The sequence below is a fragment of the Homo sapiens genome, chromosome 4 (assembly GCF_000001405.40).
Source record: "Homo sapiens chromosome 4, GRCh38.p14 Primary Assembly".
Lineage (NCBI taxonomy): Eukaryota > Metazoa > Chordata > Mammalia > Primates > Hominidae > Homo > Homo sapiens.
Window position 1 is genome coordinate 1897024 of NC_000004.12, and position 13904 is coordinate 1910927.

Here is a 13904-nt window from a genome sequence, read left to right on the forward strand (position 1 = left end):
GGCATGGTGGCAAGTGCCTTGTAGTCCTCACAGCTGCTCAGGAGGCTGAGGCAGGAAGATCACTTGAGCCTGGGAGGCAGAGGTTGCAGTGAGCCATGATCATACCACTGCACTCCAGCCTGGGTGACAGAGTGAGACTCTGTCTCAAAGGAAAAAAAAAAAAGGAAAGTGGTTTGGGCTGGGTGCAGTGTCTCATGCCTGTAATCCCAGTACTTTGGGATGTTGAGATGGGAAGATCCCTTGAGCCCAGGAGTTTGAGATCAGCCTGGACAATATAGTGAGATCCATCTCTACAAAAAAAGGGTTAAAAAGTTAGCTGAGCATGGTGGGGTGCACCTATAGTCCCAGCTACTCGGGAGGCTGAGATGGGAGGATTGCTTGAGCCCTGAAGGATAGAGGTTGCAGTGAGCTGAAATTGTGCCATTGCCCTGCACTCCAGCTTCGGTGGTAGTGAGACCCTGTCTCAAGGGAAAAAAAAAATTGTTTGGCAGGGTACAGGGGCTCCTGCTTGTAATGCCAGCACTTTGGGAAGGATTCCTTGAAGCCAGGACTTAGAGACTAGCCTGGTCAACAAGACAAGATCCCGTCTCTACAAAAAATTTTATTTTTATTTTTATTGATATATTTTTGAGACAGAGTCTCACTCAGGCTGGAGTGCAGTGGCGTGGTCTTTGCTTATTGCAGCCTCCACCTCCTGGGTTCAAGCGATTCTCCTGCCTCAGCCTCCCAAGTAGCTGGGATTACAGGTGTGTGCCACCAAGCCTGGCTAATTTTTGTATTTTTAGTAGAGTTGTGGTTTCACCATGTTGGCCAGGCTGGCCTCGAACTCCAGACCACAAGTGATCCACCTGACTCAGCCTCCTAAAGTGCTGGGATTGCAGGCATGAGCCACCTCACCCAGCTGCTGAACTTCTTGAATCTGTACATTTGTGTCTTATTAAATTGGGGAACTTTTGGAGGACCACTGTTTTCTCCAAATATTTTTGCCTTTTTTTTTCCCTCCTCCTTCTGGGTGGAACTCCAGACCCTTTAATATTGTTCCACAGATCTGTGAGGCTCTGCTTCCTTTTTTTCCCCCTTCTTTTTACAGTCTTGCTCTGTAATCCAGGTTGGAGTGCAGTAGTGCAATCATAGCTCACTGCAGCCTTGACCTCTTGGACTCAAGCGATCCTCCTGCCTCAGCCTCCTGAGTAGCAGGGACTACAGGTGCACATCACCACGACTGGCTAATTTTTGTATTTTTTGTTGAGATGGGCTCTCACTGTCTTGCCCAAGCTGGTCTTGAATTCCTGGACTTGAGTGATCCTCCTGCCTCGGCCTCCCAAAGCCTGACCACATTCCCCTTAAAAATGGTTTCGTGGCCAGGTGCGGTGGCTCACGCCTGTAATCCCAGCACTTTGGGAGGCCAAGGCGGGCGGATCACGAAGTCAGGAGATCGAGACCATCCTGGGTAACACGGTGAAACCCCGTCTCTACTAAAAATACAAAAAATTAGCCGGGCGTGGTGGTGGGCGCCTGTAGTCCCAGCTACTCAGGAGGGTGAGGCAGGAGAATTGAACCCGGGAGGTGGAGGTTGCAGTGAGCTGAGATCGCACCACTGCAGTCCAACCTGGGTGACAGAGCGAGACTCCGTCTAAAAAAAAAAAAACAAAAAACAAAAAACACACTTTTTTTTTTTTTTTTGTCCAGCAGCTGGAATCTCTTTTCAGTTATTTCATAAACTAGGCTGCTTGGAATCAGCCTGGAATTTGGGCAGAGTTTATAGGCAGAATTTGGGACTCCCCTCTGAGACTCTCTCCTTGAGATTTCCCCCCTCATTTTATAGTTGTTACAGTTGCTTCAAACTCTCCTCAGTCACACATTTCAAAATGGAGTTCACCCAGTGCTGTTCCCTTTCTTTCAACAGTTGGTTCCGTCCATTTTCTCTCTGCTTTTGGTTGCTCTCAGTTCCTTCAGGAGGTGGTTTTTTATGTTTTGTCCAGGGTTATAGTTTTTACCTTGGGACAGTTGGTATGATATGAGCTGGAAGAGGAACTGACTTTGATCTACCTTTTTAAGAAATTGTGCGGGTCAGACAGAACACATTTGTATGTGTTTTGGTGTTAAAGAGTTGTCCAGAGCACATGAAGCTGAACTGGGACTTCAACATTTTTTCAAGGTTTTACATTTGCTCTTTTTTTCCTGTCTCCTTCCTCAGCTGTCTGCTTTTCTGTGGAGACTGCGGGTTGCAGACACCAGCAGCCCCCTATTGCTGCACGTCAGGTGTCCTCCACCTCAGTACTGTGGACATCTCGGGCCGCATAGCCCTGTTGCGCGGGCATCCTGTGCGTTGCAGGAGATGCAGCAGCATCCATGACCGCAACCCATCAGAGGTCAGGGTCCGCCCCCTAGTGGTGGTAATAAAAAATGCTTCCAGATGAGGTTAAGTGTCCCTGGGGAACAAAATCCTCCCCATTTGAGAACCGCTGTTCTAGTCCACGGGCATCTCTGGTCCTTACTGTACTCAGATTTTCCCTAGTGTCTGATGCTATTGATTTCTGGCTTCTCAGAGGGCTGTTGTTGGAGCTTGTGATGGTGTACTCCTGAGAGATGCCTTCCCAGCTGGGGCGGGTGCCTACCTGTTTCTTATTCCTAGCTGTGTTTTGGGGCTCTGGCCCCTTCACTAGATGTCTCAGATTAGGGACTGTAGCTTTGCAGGGAAGACCCCACACCAGCATGCTGCAGCGAGTTACCTTCCTAAACTGCCCCTTCTGCACGTGGGCCTCACTGGCCAGTGTGGTGCACTGGCAAAGTAACCTGTGTTGTGGCTCAGCAGTGTTGTTCTCAAGTAGTTAATCTTCAGGTAGTAGCTAAAAAATGTGACCTTACTGCTGTGTTCTTTCTTGTTTAATTTAGGCCTGAACACGGAGGGGATTAGTGGACTGAGATAAGAATACTGGGTTGAGCATAGCCAGACCTGACTGGGATTGCTTTCACCCTTGGAGACTCTTGGCTTTTTGCTTCTTATTTTCATCAACCTGGAGCTAATCCTGTGCTTGGAGTTGGAATATCTGGTTTTAGACTTTGCTGACCAGGTCATCTTGGGCACATTCTGAGCCTCTGCCTGATACCTCAGCTGTAACAGGAGGGATTGGGATGAGCTCTTTTCCTGTTAGTGTTGATTTTGCTTTTATGCTATTCCCTGTTGTCCTTTTGCATAGGCCTGGCATTATGCCAGCTGCCTCACACATATTAGCTCTTTTAAGTATATGTTGGTGGACAGGTGGAAATCTGTGTTTCAGGGATGATTGGCAAGTTAAGTTATGTGTCCATGGCCACACTGTAGATTATTAGTGGTATGACTGGAGTGTGCTGTCTTGACTGACTTTCATGTTCTTCCTTTAAAAAATGATTCCTTTTTCTTTCAGCTTTATCATTTTGTGATTCCGTGTAATTTTTGTGATACTAAAACTGCCTTCTGTGACCTGAATTATTATAAAAACATCATAAATTGCTTACAAAGAAAATCAGACCCCACAAAGCTGTAGAGGTCCTGGCATACCTATCCTAGGTTTTAAATGTAATTGCTTTTTCTTTCTTTTTTCTTTTTTTTAATACCATAGTGTTCTAAGAACGGAAGCATCTGGGCTGGATGGAATTTAGCATCAAGCAGAGTCCCCTTTCTGTTCAGAGTGTTGTAAAGTGCATAAAGATGAAGCAGGCACCAGAAATCCTCGGCAGTGCCAACGGGAAGACTCCGAGCTGCGAGGTGAACCGCGAGTGTTCTGTGTTCCTCAGCAAAGCCCAGCTCTCCAGTAGCCTGCAGGAGGGGGTCATGCAGAAGTTTAACGGCCACGACGCCCTGCCCTTTATTCCAGCCGACAAGCTGAAAGATCTTACTTCCCGGGTGTTTAATGGAGAACCCGGCGCACACGATGCCAAACTGCGTTTTGAGTCCCAGGAAATGAAAGGGATTGGGACACCCCCTAACACTACCCCTATCAAAAATGGCTCTCCAGAAATTAAGCTGAAAATCACCAAAACATACATGAATGGGAAGCCTCTCTTTGAATCTTCCATTTGTGGTGACAGTGCTGCTGATGTGTCTCAGTCAGAAGAAAATGGACAAAAACCAGAAAACAAGGCGAGAAGGAACAGGAAGAGGAGCATAAAATATGACTCCTTGCTGGAGCAGGGCCTTGTCGAAGCAGCTCTTGTGTCTAAGATCTCAAGTCCTTCAGATAAAAAGGTATTTAGGAGACGTTGTGTAAGGGGTCATGTGACCTTGAGCAGTGAGCATGGCCACCCTATGAGGGCACCTGCACGAGTACTGGGGCGGGCGGAGAAGGTGAGGACAGGCCTGGTACTTCCAGCCACTTGCCTGAGCCCTGGCTTTGGGTTGGAGGGTGGGCTCCAGGATGCCCTGGCACTGCCTCCTCAGTTCTCAGCTGGCTGCTGAGCCAGTTGAGAGGTCTAGAGAGGTGAGCTAAGTGTTCAAGATTCAAATGGCTAAAAAGAGGCAAAGCTTGTTTCTTAACGTGGTTCTGCCAGTTTCAGAGCCCTTGCTTGACAACGTCAGGCTACACTCTTTTCATGGATCTCATCTCCAAGGTGTTCTTTAGCCTGATGTGGTCAGTGGAGACAGGCTGGGCTCTAGAGTGTGACTTCTTAAGTCTGCACCATCTGATGAGTGGGAAGCAGAGCTGTGCAGAGGTGCTCCCGCTGTCCTTACCCTGTGGTCCAGTGTCCACTTACTGTCTCCTCAGCCAGGTGGTCCAGCAGATGGCCTGCCTCCCTGAGGCCTAGGGATGTGTCTTTTGCCTCCTGTTCTTGGTTCCCAGTGCAGAGCCCAGCACACTGAACACAAGCGAATGAGTGTTTCCTTATCCTAACTTGCGATGGAAAGGTGTGGTGGTGCTGCTCCATTCTGCCTGGTGATGGTGTCTCCACGCCTTCACGTGGCACTCGGGATGGCCCTGACACTCGGATGAGTATAAGCCATAGGAAACAACCAAGGGGCCATGGCTTTGGCAGAAGGAAGGAACTCTTGATGGGGCAGCAGTCTCTGTTCATCTGGTGGTCTATAGGGTGTTGCTTTTTAGTTGTAACTCCTTGAAATTGTTAAAATAATGAAGAGCTTTGAGGGTTAAAAAAACGTTTTTTGATTACTCAGGAGCTGTTTAGTTCTCGCTCATGTAATGGCAGTGGTGAAGTTTTTAAATTTTATTTATTTATTTATTTATTTTGAGATGGTCTCTGTTGTCCAGGCTAGAGGGCAGTGGTGTGATCATGGCTCACAACAGCCTTGACCTCCCAGGCTTAGGTGATCCTCCTACCTCACCCTCCTGAGTAGTTGGACCACAGGTGTGCACCACTATATGCCCAGTTAATTTTTTATTTTTTGTAGGACAGGGTCTTGCTGTGTTGCCCAGGCTGGTCTCAAACCCCTGGGCTCAAACGATCCTCCCACCTCTGCCTCCTGAAGTGCTCGAGTTACAGGTATGAGCTACCATGCCCAGCCTACAAAGATTTTTTGAAGTGCCCACAGCAGTATTGAACCTCATGCTTTTGCTTGGGAAGAGGCCTGTGCAAGTTGTCAGAGTCCTAGCTGTTTTGTTTTGAGACAGGGTCTTGGTATGTTGCACAGGCTGTTCACGAACTCCTGACCTCAAACGATGTTCCTGCATCAGAGCTGGCTTTTTCTTTCTCCTCCAACTGAAAAACAAACCAAACAAAAAAATCTGGCTTTTATTCCTAGCCATGTCCCTTGGTTTTGTTAAAACTTGAGTAACTCAACCTGAATTTTGACTCTTCCTCTGGAGAGTGGGGTCAATAAATGTAAACCTGGGTTGCTGTGCAGTAATCTGGTAGCTGTTCTGAAAGTATGTCAGGCCTGATGGGGTGGCTCACATCTGTAATCCCAGCACTTTGGGAGGCTGAGGCAGGAAGATTGCTTGAGCCCAGGAGTTCAAGACTAGCCTGGGCAACATAGCGAGACCCGGTCTCTATAAAAAATAAAATTAGCTGGGCGTGGTGGCACTGCCTGTGGTCCCAGCTACTAGGGAGGCTGAGATGGGAGGATCAAAAAAACATGAAAATGTGTCATGTGGCAGCTCATGCCAGGCTTCACCAGCATGCTTATGGCAAGGTTTTGGGCCGGCCTCTTCAGCTTACAGGTGAGAAAACTGAGGCCTGAGGCAGTGGAACAATTTACTCATGTGTATAGTGCTCTTGAGCAAGGCTAGAGATTCACCCTTGGAGGGTTGGGGCCATGCTGGCTGTGCTTATTTCCACTGGAGAGCAGAACTGTGAGTGGCTTGTGGGGAGGAGTTTTTCTTTGGTGGAATGTTCAGCCTTAACCTACCCATTATGTTCTAGAGATGGAGAAATTGAGGCTCAGAGAGCCCCAAGGACTCAAATTACATGTGATGGAGCCGAGACTTGCTCCTAGTCCTCCTGGTGCCCTTGCCCTCACCACACTGGGATGGTTCATGTTGGTGACACATGGGCTGCTGAGAACTGATCGTCAGACATGACTGGAGGGGCAGAAGTCAGTATGGATTTGGAATTCTGTGAGAATTCCTTTTCGACCAGTTGAATAAAGTACCATTAAAGACCGTCTATTAATACTAGGCCAAGGAAATAGATTTATATAGAGATCTTCAAAATGTTGAACACCTGCTGTGTGCTATGCACTGTCCTGATCCTTTAGCTGAGAGTGAGAGAGAAATTTTTTTTTTTTTTTTTTTTGAGATGGAGTCTCGCCCTGTCGCCCAGGCTGGAGTGCAGTGGCGTGATCTCGGCTCACTGCAAGCTCCGCCTCCCGGGTTCACGCCATTCTCCTGCCTCAGCTTCCTGAGTAGCTGGGATTACAGGCGCCTGCCACCACGCCCGGCTAATTTTTTGTATTTTTAGTAGAGACAGGGTTTCATTGTGTTAGCCAGGATGGTCTTGATCTCCTGAACTCGTGATCCGCCCACGTTGGCCTCCCAAAGTGCTGGGACTACAGGCGTGAGCCACCGCACCTGGCCTGAGAGACAAAATTTTGATGAAACGATGTTGAGGCTATCATCTAAAACACAGCAAGGGAGCACACTCCATTTTTGGGGGTCTGTGTGTATTTGGACATTGTAGCCTGGTGAATCCTTGGTCTTCTGGATACACAGGTAGTGATTGGATGTGTTAGTGTTTGTCTTCTGTTGTTCATTTTCAGATTCCAGCTAAGAAAGAGTCTTGTCCAAACACTGGAAGAGACAAAGACCACCTGTTGAAATACAACGTTGGTGATTTGGTGTGGTCCAAAGTGTCGGGTTACCCTTGGTGGCCTTGCATGGTTTCTGCAGATCCACTCCTTCACAGCTATACCAAACTTAAAGGTATTGTGTTCTTTGGGTTGTTTTTCCAACTTTCTCTTCTGCACTTAATCTTTCTCATCTCCAGGCTTCTTTCTTACTCTTTCTAAATAGCCCTGCTATGGTTCATTTTTGCAGCTTTACCTAAAGTTAGTGATTGATTCAAGTGTGATGTGTTGCCATTTCTTTTTATATTCAACTCAAATATGTACTTCATCTGATTGAATTAGTGTTAAGGGACACATGACCTTTGCCTTGTATAACTTCTGTTTTTATGATAGTTTATTATTTAGTTACGATGATTGCTTGTTTCAGGATGATTTGCAGCAAGAGTGTTTTATGCTAAGTTTAAGTTGTAAAAATGTCCAAGTGAATTTTATTAGGCCTATGGGAAGAATGGAAAACACTGGAAGTGATCATCTTTGTCTTATGAAGCTTGGGTAGATAAATTGATTTTTACATGGAGCGGCTGATGTAACATATTAAGAATGTACGGCCGGGCACGGTGGCTCACGCCTGTAATCCCAACACTTTGGGAGGCCGAGGTGGGTGGATCACTTGAGGTCAGGAGTTCGAGACTAGCCTGACCAACATGGTCAAACCGCGTCTCTACTAAAAATACAAAATTAGCCGGACGTGGTGGTGCACGCCTGTAATCCCAGCTACTCAGGAGGCTGAGGCAGGAGAATCGCTAGAACCCGGGAGGTGGAGGTTGCAGTGAGCCGAGATCGCGCCATTGCACTCTAGTCTGGGCAACAACAGCGAAACTCTGTCTCACAAAAAAAAAAAGAATGTTATATGTCCCTGATACAGAGCAAATAATGGTTGGTCAACCCATAAATGTGTTTTTAGAGGAATAGTAAAAGATAATGTGGTTTGAGGTTTTTCTGAAAGTTCTTCTAGAGTGAAGTTGGAATTTAGTTTGAGCAAGTTGCGATGTGGCGAGTGCGGAGTTAGAACTGAGCAAGTTAGTGTCACCCTGTGATCTGATCTGTGCACCCTCTGGAAGTGTGGCGTCTAGAGTCAGGCCAGACTAGGCCAATGCTCCAGTCCAATATTGCTGACCAGTCAGCCTCTTATGGCCCCTTGGTGGTCCTTGCGTACATGTCCCCTTCTGGTCTCTGGCTGGAGGCCTGAGCTCCTGTGGGGGCAGCGTTGCTGCCCTTGCTATGAGCTTATGTCTTTGTACTGCCACCTGCATGGCCAAAACAGGCTTGTCAGCTGGCTGTGGGAGCAGGTGGCTGCTAGGAATGGGGTACAGAGGTGCCTCCCTGGCAGATGTAGATGTTAGAGGGGCAGGCTGAGGACGAAGAGGACTCTGCCGAGTCCTGGGTGCCCTTGCCTGAGTCCTGCCCTGGCCTCCTGTCCTGTGCCATGTGTGCTCTGCAGGAGTTGTGGCAGAAGAGCCTATGGCCTGGCTTCAGCTCTGTCTCCATGGAGGACCTTTGGCATCCTTGGCTTGCCAGAATTCGGGGATTCCTTTCCAAGGGGTTGCGGGAACCCCAGGGTGTACCCCAGGGCCTCTAGACTCGGTCAGTGTATGAAAAAATAAATGCTGGTTGAGACAGAAGCTGTCTCCCCTTTGTCTGAGGATGGACCTTCAAGCCTCTGCAGCCCGGGTGCAGGCACACATGGGTGTGTGTGAGGGGCTGCTAATTCTTTCTCTGCTTTCTAAAACCAGGCATAGTCTCCACACAGCAAACCCTGTGACTCCCATGTCATTTGTTTGTGTGGCACACAAGCAGCTCTTACTGATTTCCTTTTTAGTGTCTGGGGATATTTACTTATTTATATGATGCCATGTTTAGCTGTTAGCCTCTCATGCCTGTGAAACTGAAGTAGTCTTTTGAAAGTCTCCTTGTTCTTCCTATTAGGGCTTATTACTTTTAATTTCTTTTTTTGGGGATGGAGGCTCGCTCCATCACCCAAACTGGAGTGCAGTGGCGCAGTCTTAGCTCACTGCAACCTGTACCTTCTGGGCTCAGGTGATCCTTCCATCTCAGCCTCCTGAGTAGCTGGGACTACAGGTGCGTGCCACCACACCTGGCTAATTTTTGTGTTTTTTTTGTAGAGATGGGGTTTCACCATGTTGCCCAGTTGGTCTCAAACTCCTGGGCCCCAGTGATCCGCTTGCCTCGGCCTCCCAAAGTGCTGGGATTACAGAAATGAGCCACAGTGCCGCAGCCCAACTTATATATCATTGCATCTTTTCCCTGCCTTGGAGTTAAGTAATTCCTGTAGTCTGCAACAGCTTCTCTGACATTCAGATATACTGCCATTTTTACTTCTCTCTCTCTCTCTTTTTTTTTTTTTTTTTTTTTTTTGAGACACAGTTTCACTCTGTCTCCCAGGCTAGAGTGCACTGGCGCGATCTCAGCTCACTGCAACCTCTGCTTCCTGGGTTCAAGGAATTCTTGTGTCTCAGCTTCCTGAGTAGCTGGGATTATAGGTGTGTGCCACTATGCCTGGCTAATTTTTGTATTTTTAGTAGAGATGGGGTTTCACCATATTGGCCAGGCTGGTCTCAAACCTCTGACCTCAAGTGATCTGCCCACCTCGGCCTCCCAAAGTGCTGGGATTACAGGCGTGAGCCACCGTGCCCGGCCTCATCTCTCTTTCTTTGCTTGACTCCGGGACCTTGCACTGTGGCTAAGTGCTTTCACTCTTGTGCTTATGGCACCGTTGTGTTACTCTCTGCGGTTGAGGCTGGGACTCAGGAATCAGCCTGCCAGGGTCTAGTTAGCTGGCTGATCTTGATAATGAACTTAATCTCGCTAAGCTTCAGTTTCCCTGTATATGAAAATGAGGAAGATGATACCATCACCTTCATGGAAAGGTCTTAATGCAGTGACCACCGGATGCTCGTATTAGCAATTGTCATTATCCTCACTTTTACTTTTAAAACCTGAGTTTTTATTGTTTCAACTCCCATTCCCCTGGTTTCTTCTATAGCTGCTTCCTGAAAACCTTCATGTTTGACCAGTTATTAACCCTGCAGCCACCTAGTGTTTGGTTAATTTTAATACTTTTGTATCTGTTTTTAAGTGTTTTCATGTCCTCAGGTATTCCCTCAGTTTTCAAAACATAATGCCAAATGGGTATACTTGGATTCTAGCTTTTTTTGTGTATGTGTGAAATATTTGATCTATTTTTTTAATCTATTTTAAAAACTTTCAAGTCAAAGTAAAACAGCACAGCAGACACCTATCCCCTCATCTAGATTCTCCACCTTGAAACATCTTGTTCTACCTGTTGAATCTCTTTTTTTTTTTTTTTTTTTTTTTGTGACACAGTCTCACTCTGTTGCCAGGCTGGAGTGCAGTGGCACGATTTTGGCAACCTCTGCCTCCTGGGTTCAAGCAATTCTCCTGCCTCAGTCTCCCAAGTAGGTGGGACTACAGGTGCACGCCACCACACCCAGCTAATTTTTGTATTTTTAGTACAAATGGGGTTTCACCATGTTGGCCAGGATGATCTTGATCTCTTGACCTTGTGATCCACCCACCTTGGCCTCCCAATGGGATTACAGGCATGAGTCACTGTGCCTAGCCTCCATCTCTTTTGTTGCATGATGGCTGGTAGCTTTCGTGGCACTGTTACCCCCAAATACGTCAGAACAAGGACAGTTTCCTTATTGACTCAGCACCAGCCGCATTTCGGGAAACATCACATCAGTAACAAGATCTGTTGCTGTGCTAAGAGCAGGTGTAGGGCGTGTCCCCAGCAGGCCCCTACCTGTCTTTTTCTGTACTTCAGGGTTGAGATGCATACTCGGCATCTGGTGGTTGTGCCTCTTTAGCTTCTGCTAGTCTAGAACAGCACTCCCAATCCCCAATTCCTCATGACTGCTTTAGCTTTCTCATGATCAGACCTAGGTCAGAAAGGCCAGGTTGGATCTCACAGTTGGAACCTTGAAAGGTAGCTTTGGCCCTTTACTAAAGATCTGTGTACAGAAGAAGGGAGTGTCCTGCACCAGCATAGGCTGGGCAGTGGCCTGCCTCACCTCAGCAGTCGGCTTCTCTAGGAATTATTGTGGGATGTAGAGTAGGAGGCACAAGCAAACCTACTTCAGAAGACTGATAATATACTTTTTTGTGTGTGTGAAGGCATTAGAGTATAAAAGATACTGTACATTTGAAAAGCAGTTCAGAAGGAGTCAAGCCTGGGTAGATAACCCTCCAACTGAAAGGAGATTCAGATAATCTTAAAAGAAAAGGGGTCAAAGGAAGTGAGCAGAACAAAGAGAAGTGAGGGAAGGACAGAGTGCTAGTCAGACCACATCAGGAGGAGCTTATGTGTCAGCTGACCCACCCCTGGTAGGCGATGACCACCAGAGCTCTCTGTGGAAAGGCACAGGTCCCCATTGTCACTAATGAGGGACCTGTGGGCTGTGCTTGTAGTCTGTCCCAACAGTGTAGCTTTTGTTGTTGTTGTTTTGAGATAGGGTCTTGGCTCTGTTGCTCTGTCCAGGCTAGAGTACAGTGGCACAATCATAGCTCACTCCAGGCTCAAACTCCTGGGCTCAGGTCATCTTCTTCCTGCCTTGGCCTCCCAAATTGTTGGGATTACAAGTGTGAGCCACCATACCTGTCCCCAGCAGCCACGGCTTTAGCAGTCCTTGATGATTCATCATGGACTTGTTAAATGGTAACTGGCTATTATTGCACTTTCTACATTTTAGTTGTCATTTTTCTATGAAAATGAGCTCCTCCCTAAAAAAAAAAGAGTTATATATTTTAGTTCTTATTTTCTTAAATCCTCACATTGTCCCAAATTTGACCAGTGGGAGTTCTATTAAGTTCCTTTAAGTTGTATGCCTTTGACATGTCCCCGTCAGCCCTTGAGCACCTCTTTACGTTCTGGTACAACAAGATGTTCCAGGCTCATCTTGTACTGTTTTTCCCACCACCCCCCCCAACCCTAGCATCAGCCGTTTCTCAGAGAAGGCCTAGGTTCTTTGAGTACAGAATAGTATGTAGGAGCCCAGGTCTGGTCGCTGGTTGTGTTCATTGCTCTGGGAGACAGAGTTTGCAAGGGAAACTCTGTGCAGTAGGTCTCCAAGCAGTGCTGAGCCCTTGCTCCAAGTGGAGCTCTTGGGTCCATTTTTGATTCTCCAACACTTGGCCTGCAGCACCCCATGATGAGAATGAGACAGTGAGTGGTGAGTGTCGTTGTTTTGGAAGGACAGGGATGTGAAGAAGAGATAGCTCCTGCCGTGGAGTGGGCTGAGCATGGGTCCTGTGAAGCCAGTACTTTTATATTTTTCTATCCTCTATTCCTATCCTTTTTTTTTTTCTTTTCCTGGAGATGGAGTCTTGCTCACTCGTCCAGGCTGGAGTACAGTGGTATGATCTCGGCTCACTGCAACCTCCATTTCCCAGGTTCAAGCGATTCTCCTGTCTCAGCCTCCCGAGTAGCTGGGATTACAGGTGCACACCACTATGCCCAGCTAATTTTTGTATTTTTAGTAGAGCTGGGGTTTCACCATGTTGGCCAGGCTGGTCTCAACCTCCTGACCTTGTGATCCGCCCAACTCGGCCTCCCAAAGTGCTGTGATTACAGGCGTGAGTCACCGCGCCCGGCACCCGTTAAAAAAAAAAAAAATTATTTATCATGCTTGGGATTTATGGACCAGTTTGAATCCGTGTATCTTAGTAATATACTTAAATTTTGAAAACTGAGGTATAATATACATGCAAAAGTGAACATAACTCATAAGCTACAGCTCAATCTAGATTCTTTTGGAAATCAAAATTTCCTTTGGAAATCTTAAGTTAATGAAAGTCTTAATAGCATTGTTGTAATTTACAGCAGCAGAACCTGTGTTAGCTAGTATCTACCAGGGCACCTAGGTGGACTAGCAGCTTTTAGGCTCAACCTTTTTTTTTTTCGAGACAGTCTTTCTCTGTCACCCAGGCTGGAGTGCAGTGTCACAATCTCGGCTCACTGCAACCTCTGTCTCCCAGGTTCAAGTGATTCTCCTGCCGCAGCCTCCCGAGTAGCTGGCACTACAGGCATGTGTCACCACACCCGACTAATTTTGTATTTTTGCTAGAGATGGGGTTTCACCATATTGGCCAGGCTGGTCAAGGCTCAACCTTTTAAGTTGGAAACAGAAGATAACTATATGTTTTAGATATTACACTCACTGGTCTCTTTAGGTAACTGTGGTCTGGAATCAAGTAATTTTCTGTTGTGGAGATTTTTGTTGTCACCTTTTCTGTGTTATGGAAGGGAATGTTAGGAATTAACCCTCCTTGCTTTATATAGGAAAAAAAATGCTTCTGGCATTTTCTAAAAATATTGCAGGTAATCTGGCTTTCTCGTGTCTTGTGCTGTTTGATGGTATTATCTTCCTACTGATTTGTTTCTTGCTTGTTCTATTACTTGCTGAGAGATGTGTTAAAATCTCCCATGGGATTGTGGATTTGCTGTTTTTCTACTTGTAGTTCTGGCAGTTTCTGCTTTACCTATTTTGGGGCTCTGGTGCCCTCCAGAGACTGAACTGGGAAACTCAGGCATGGTCATGCTTGTCCTTTGTTTCCCAGGGAGCTCTGTGGTCTCATGTCGTTG

The 13904-nt window shown here is 46.9% G+C and overlaps 1 protein-coding gene across 22 annotated transcripts in view, besides 1 other annotated feature; it reads left to right on the top strand.

The window, feature by feature from the left end:
* NSD2 (nuclear receptor binding SET domain protein 2) overlaps positions 1 to 13904 on the top strand; it is a 110800-nt gene that overhangs the window by 25631 nt on the left and 71265 nt on the right. For 15 of the 22 annotated variants that reach the window (NM_001440892.1, XM_047416141.1, NM_001440900.1 and 12 more), the window contains 2 exons: positions 3603 to 4228; positions 7193 to 7355. In NM_001440892.1, coding sequence (NP_001427821.1) covers positions 3632 to 4228; positions 7193 to 7355 — 760 coding nt within the window. In that variant the 5' untranslated portion in view covers positions 3603 to 3631. Of the gene's footprint in view, positions 1 to 2197; positions 2373 to 3602; positions 4328 to 7192; positions 7356 to 13904 lie in introns of all 22 variants that reach the window. The other 7 variants (XM_047416137.1, XM_047416144.1, NM_133330.3 and 4 more) reach the window with 3 other exon arrangements.
* Positions 2087 to 2226: an enhancer, noted in NCBI's record as "active region_21162". NCBI's record gives its function as "activates an Ori minimal core promoter by ATAC-STARR-seq in GM12878 lymphoblastoid cells {active_cell/tissue: GM12878}" and the evidence as "EXISTENCE:reporter gene assay evidence [ECO:0000049][PMID:35858748]".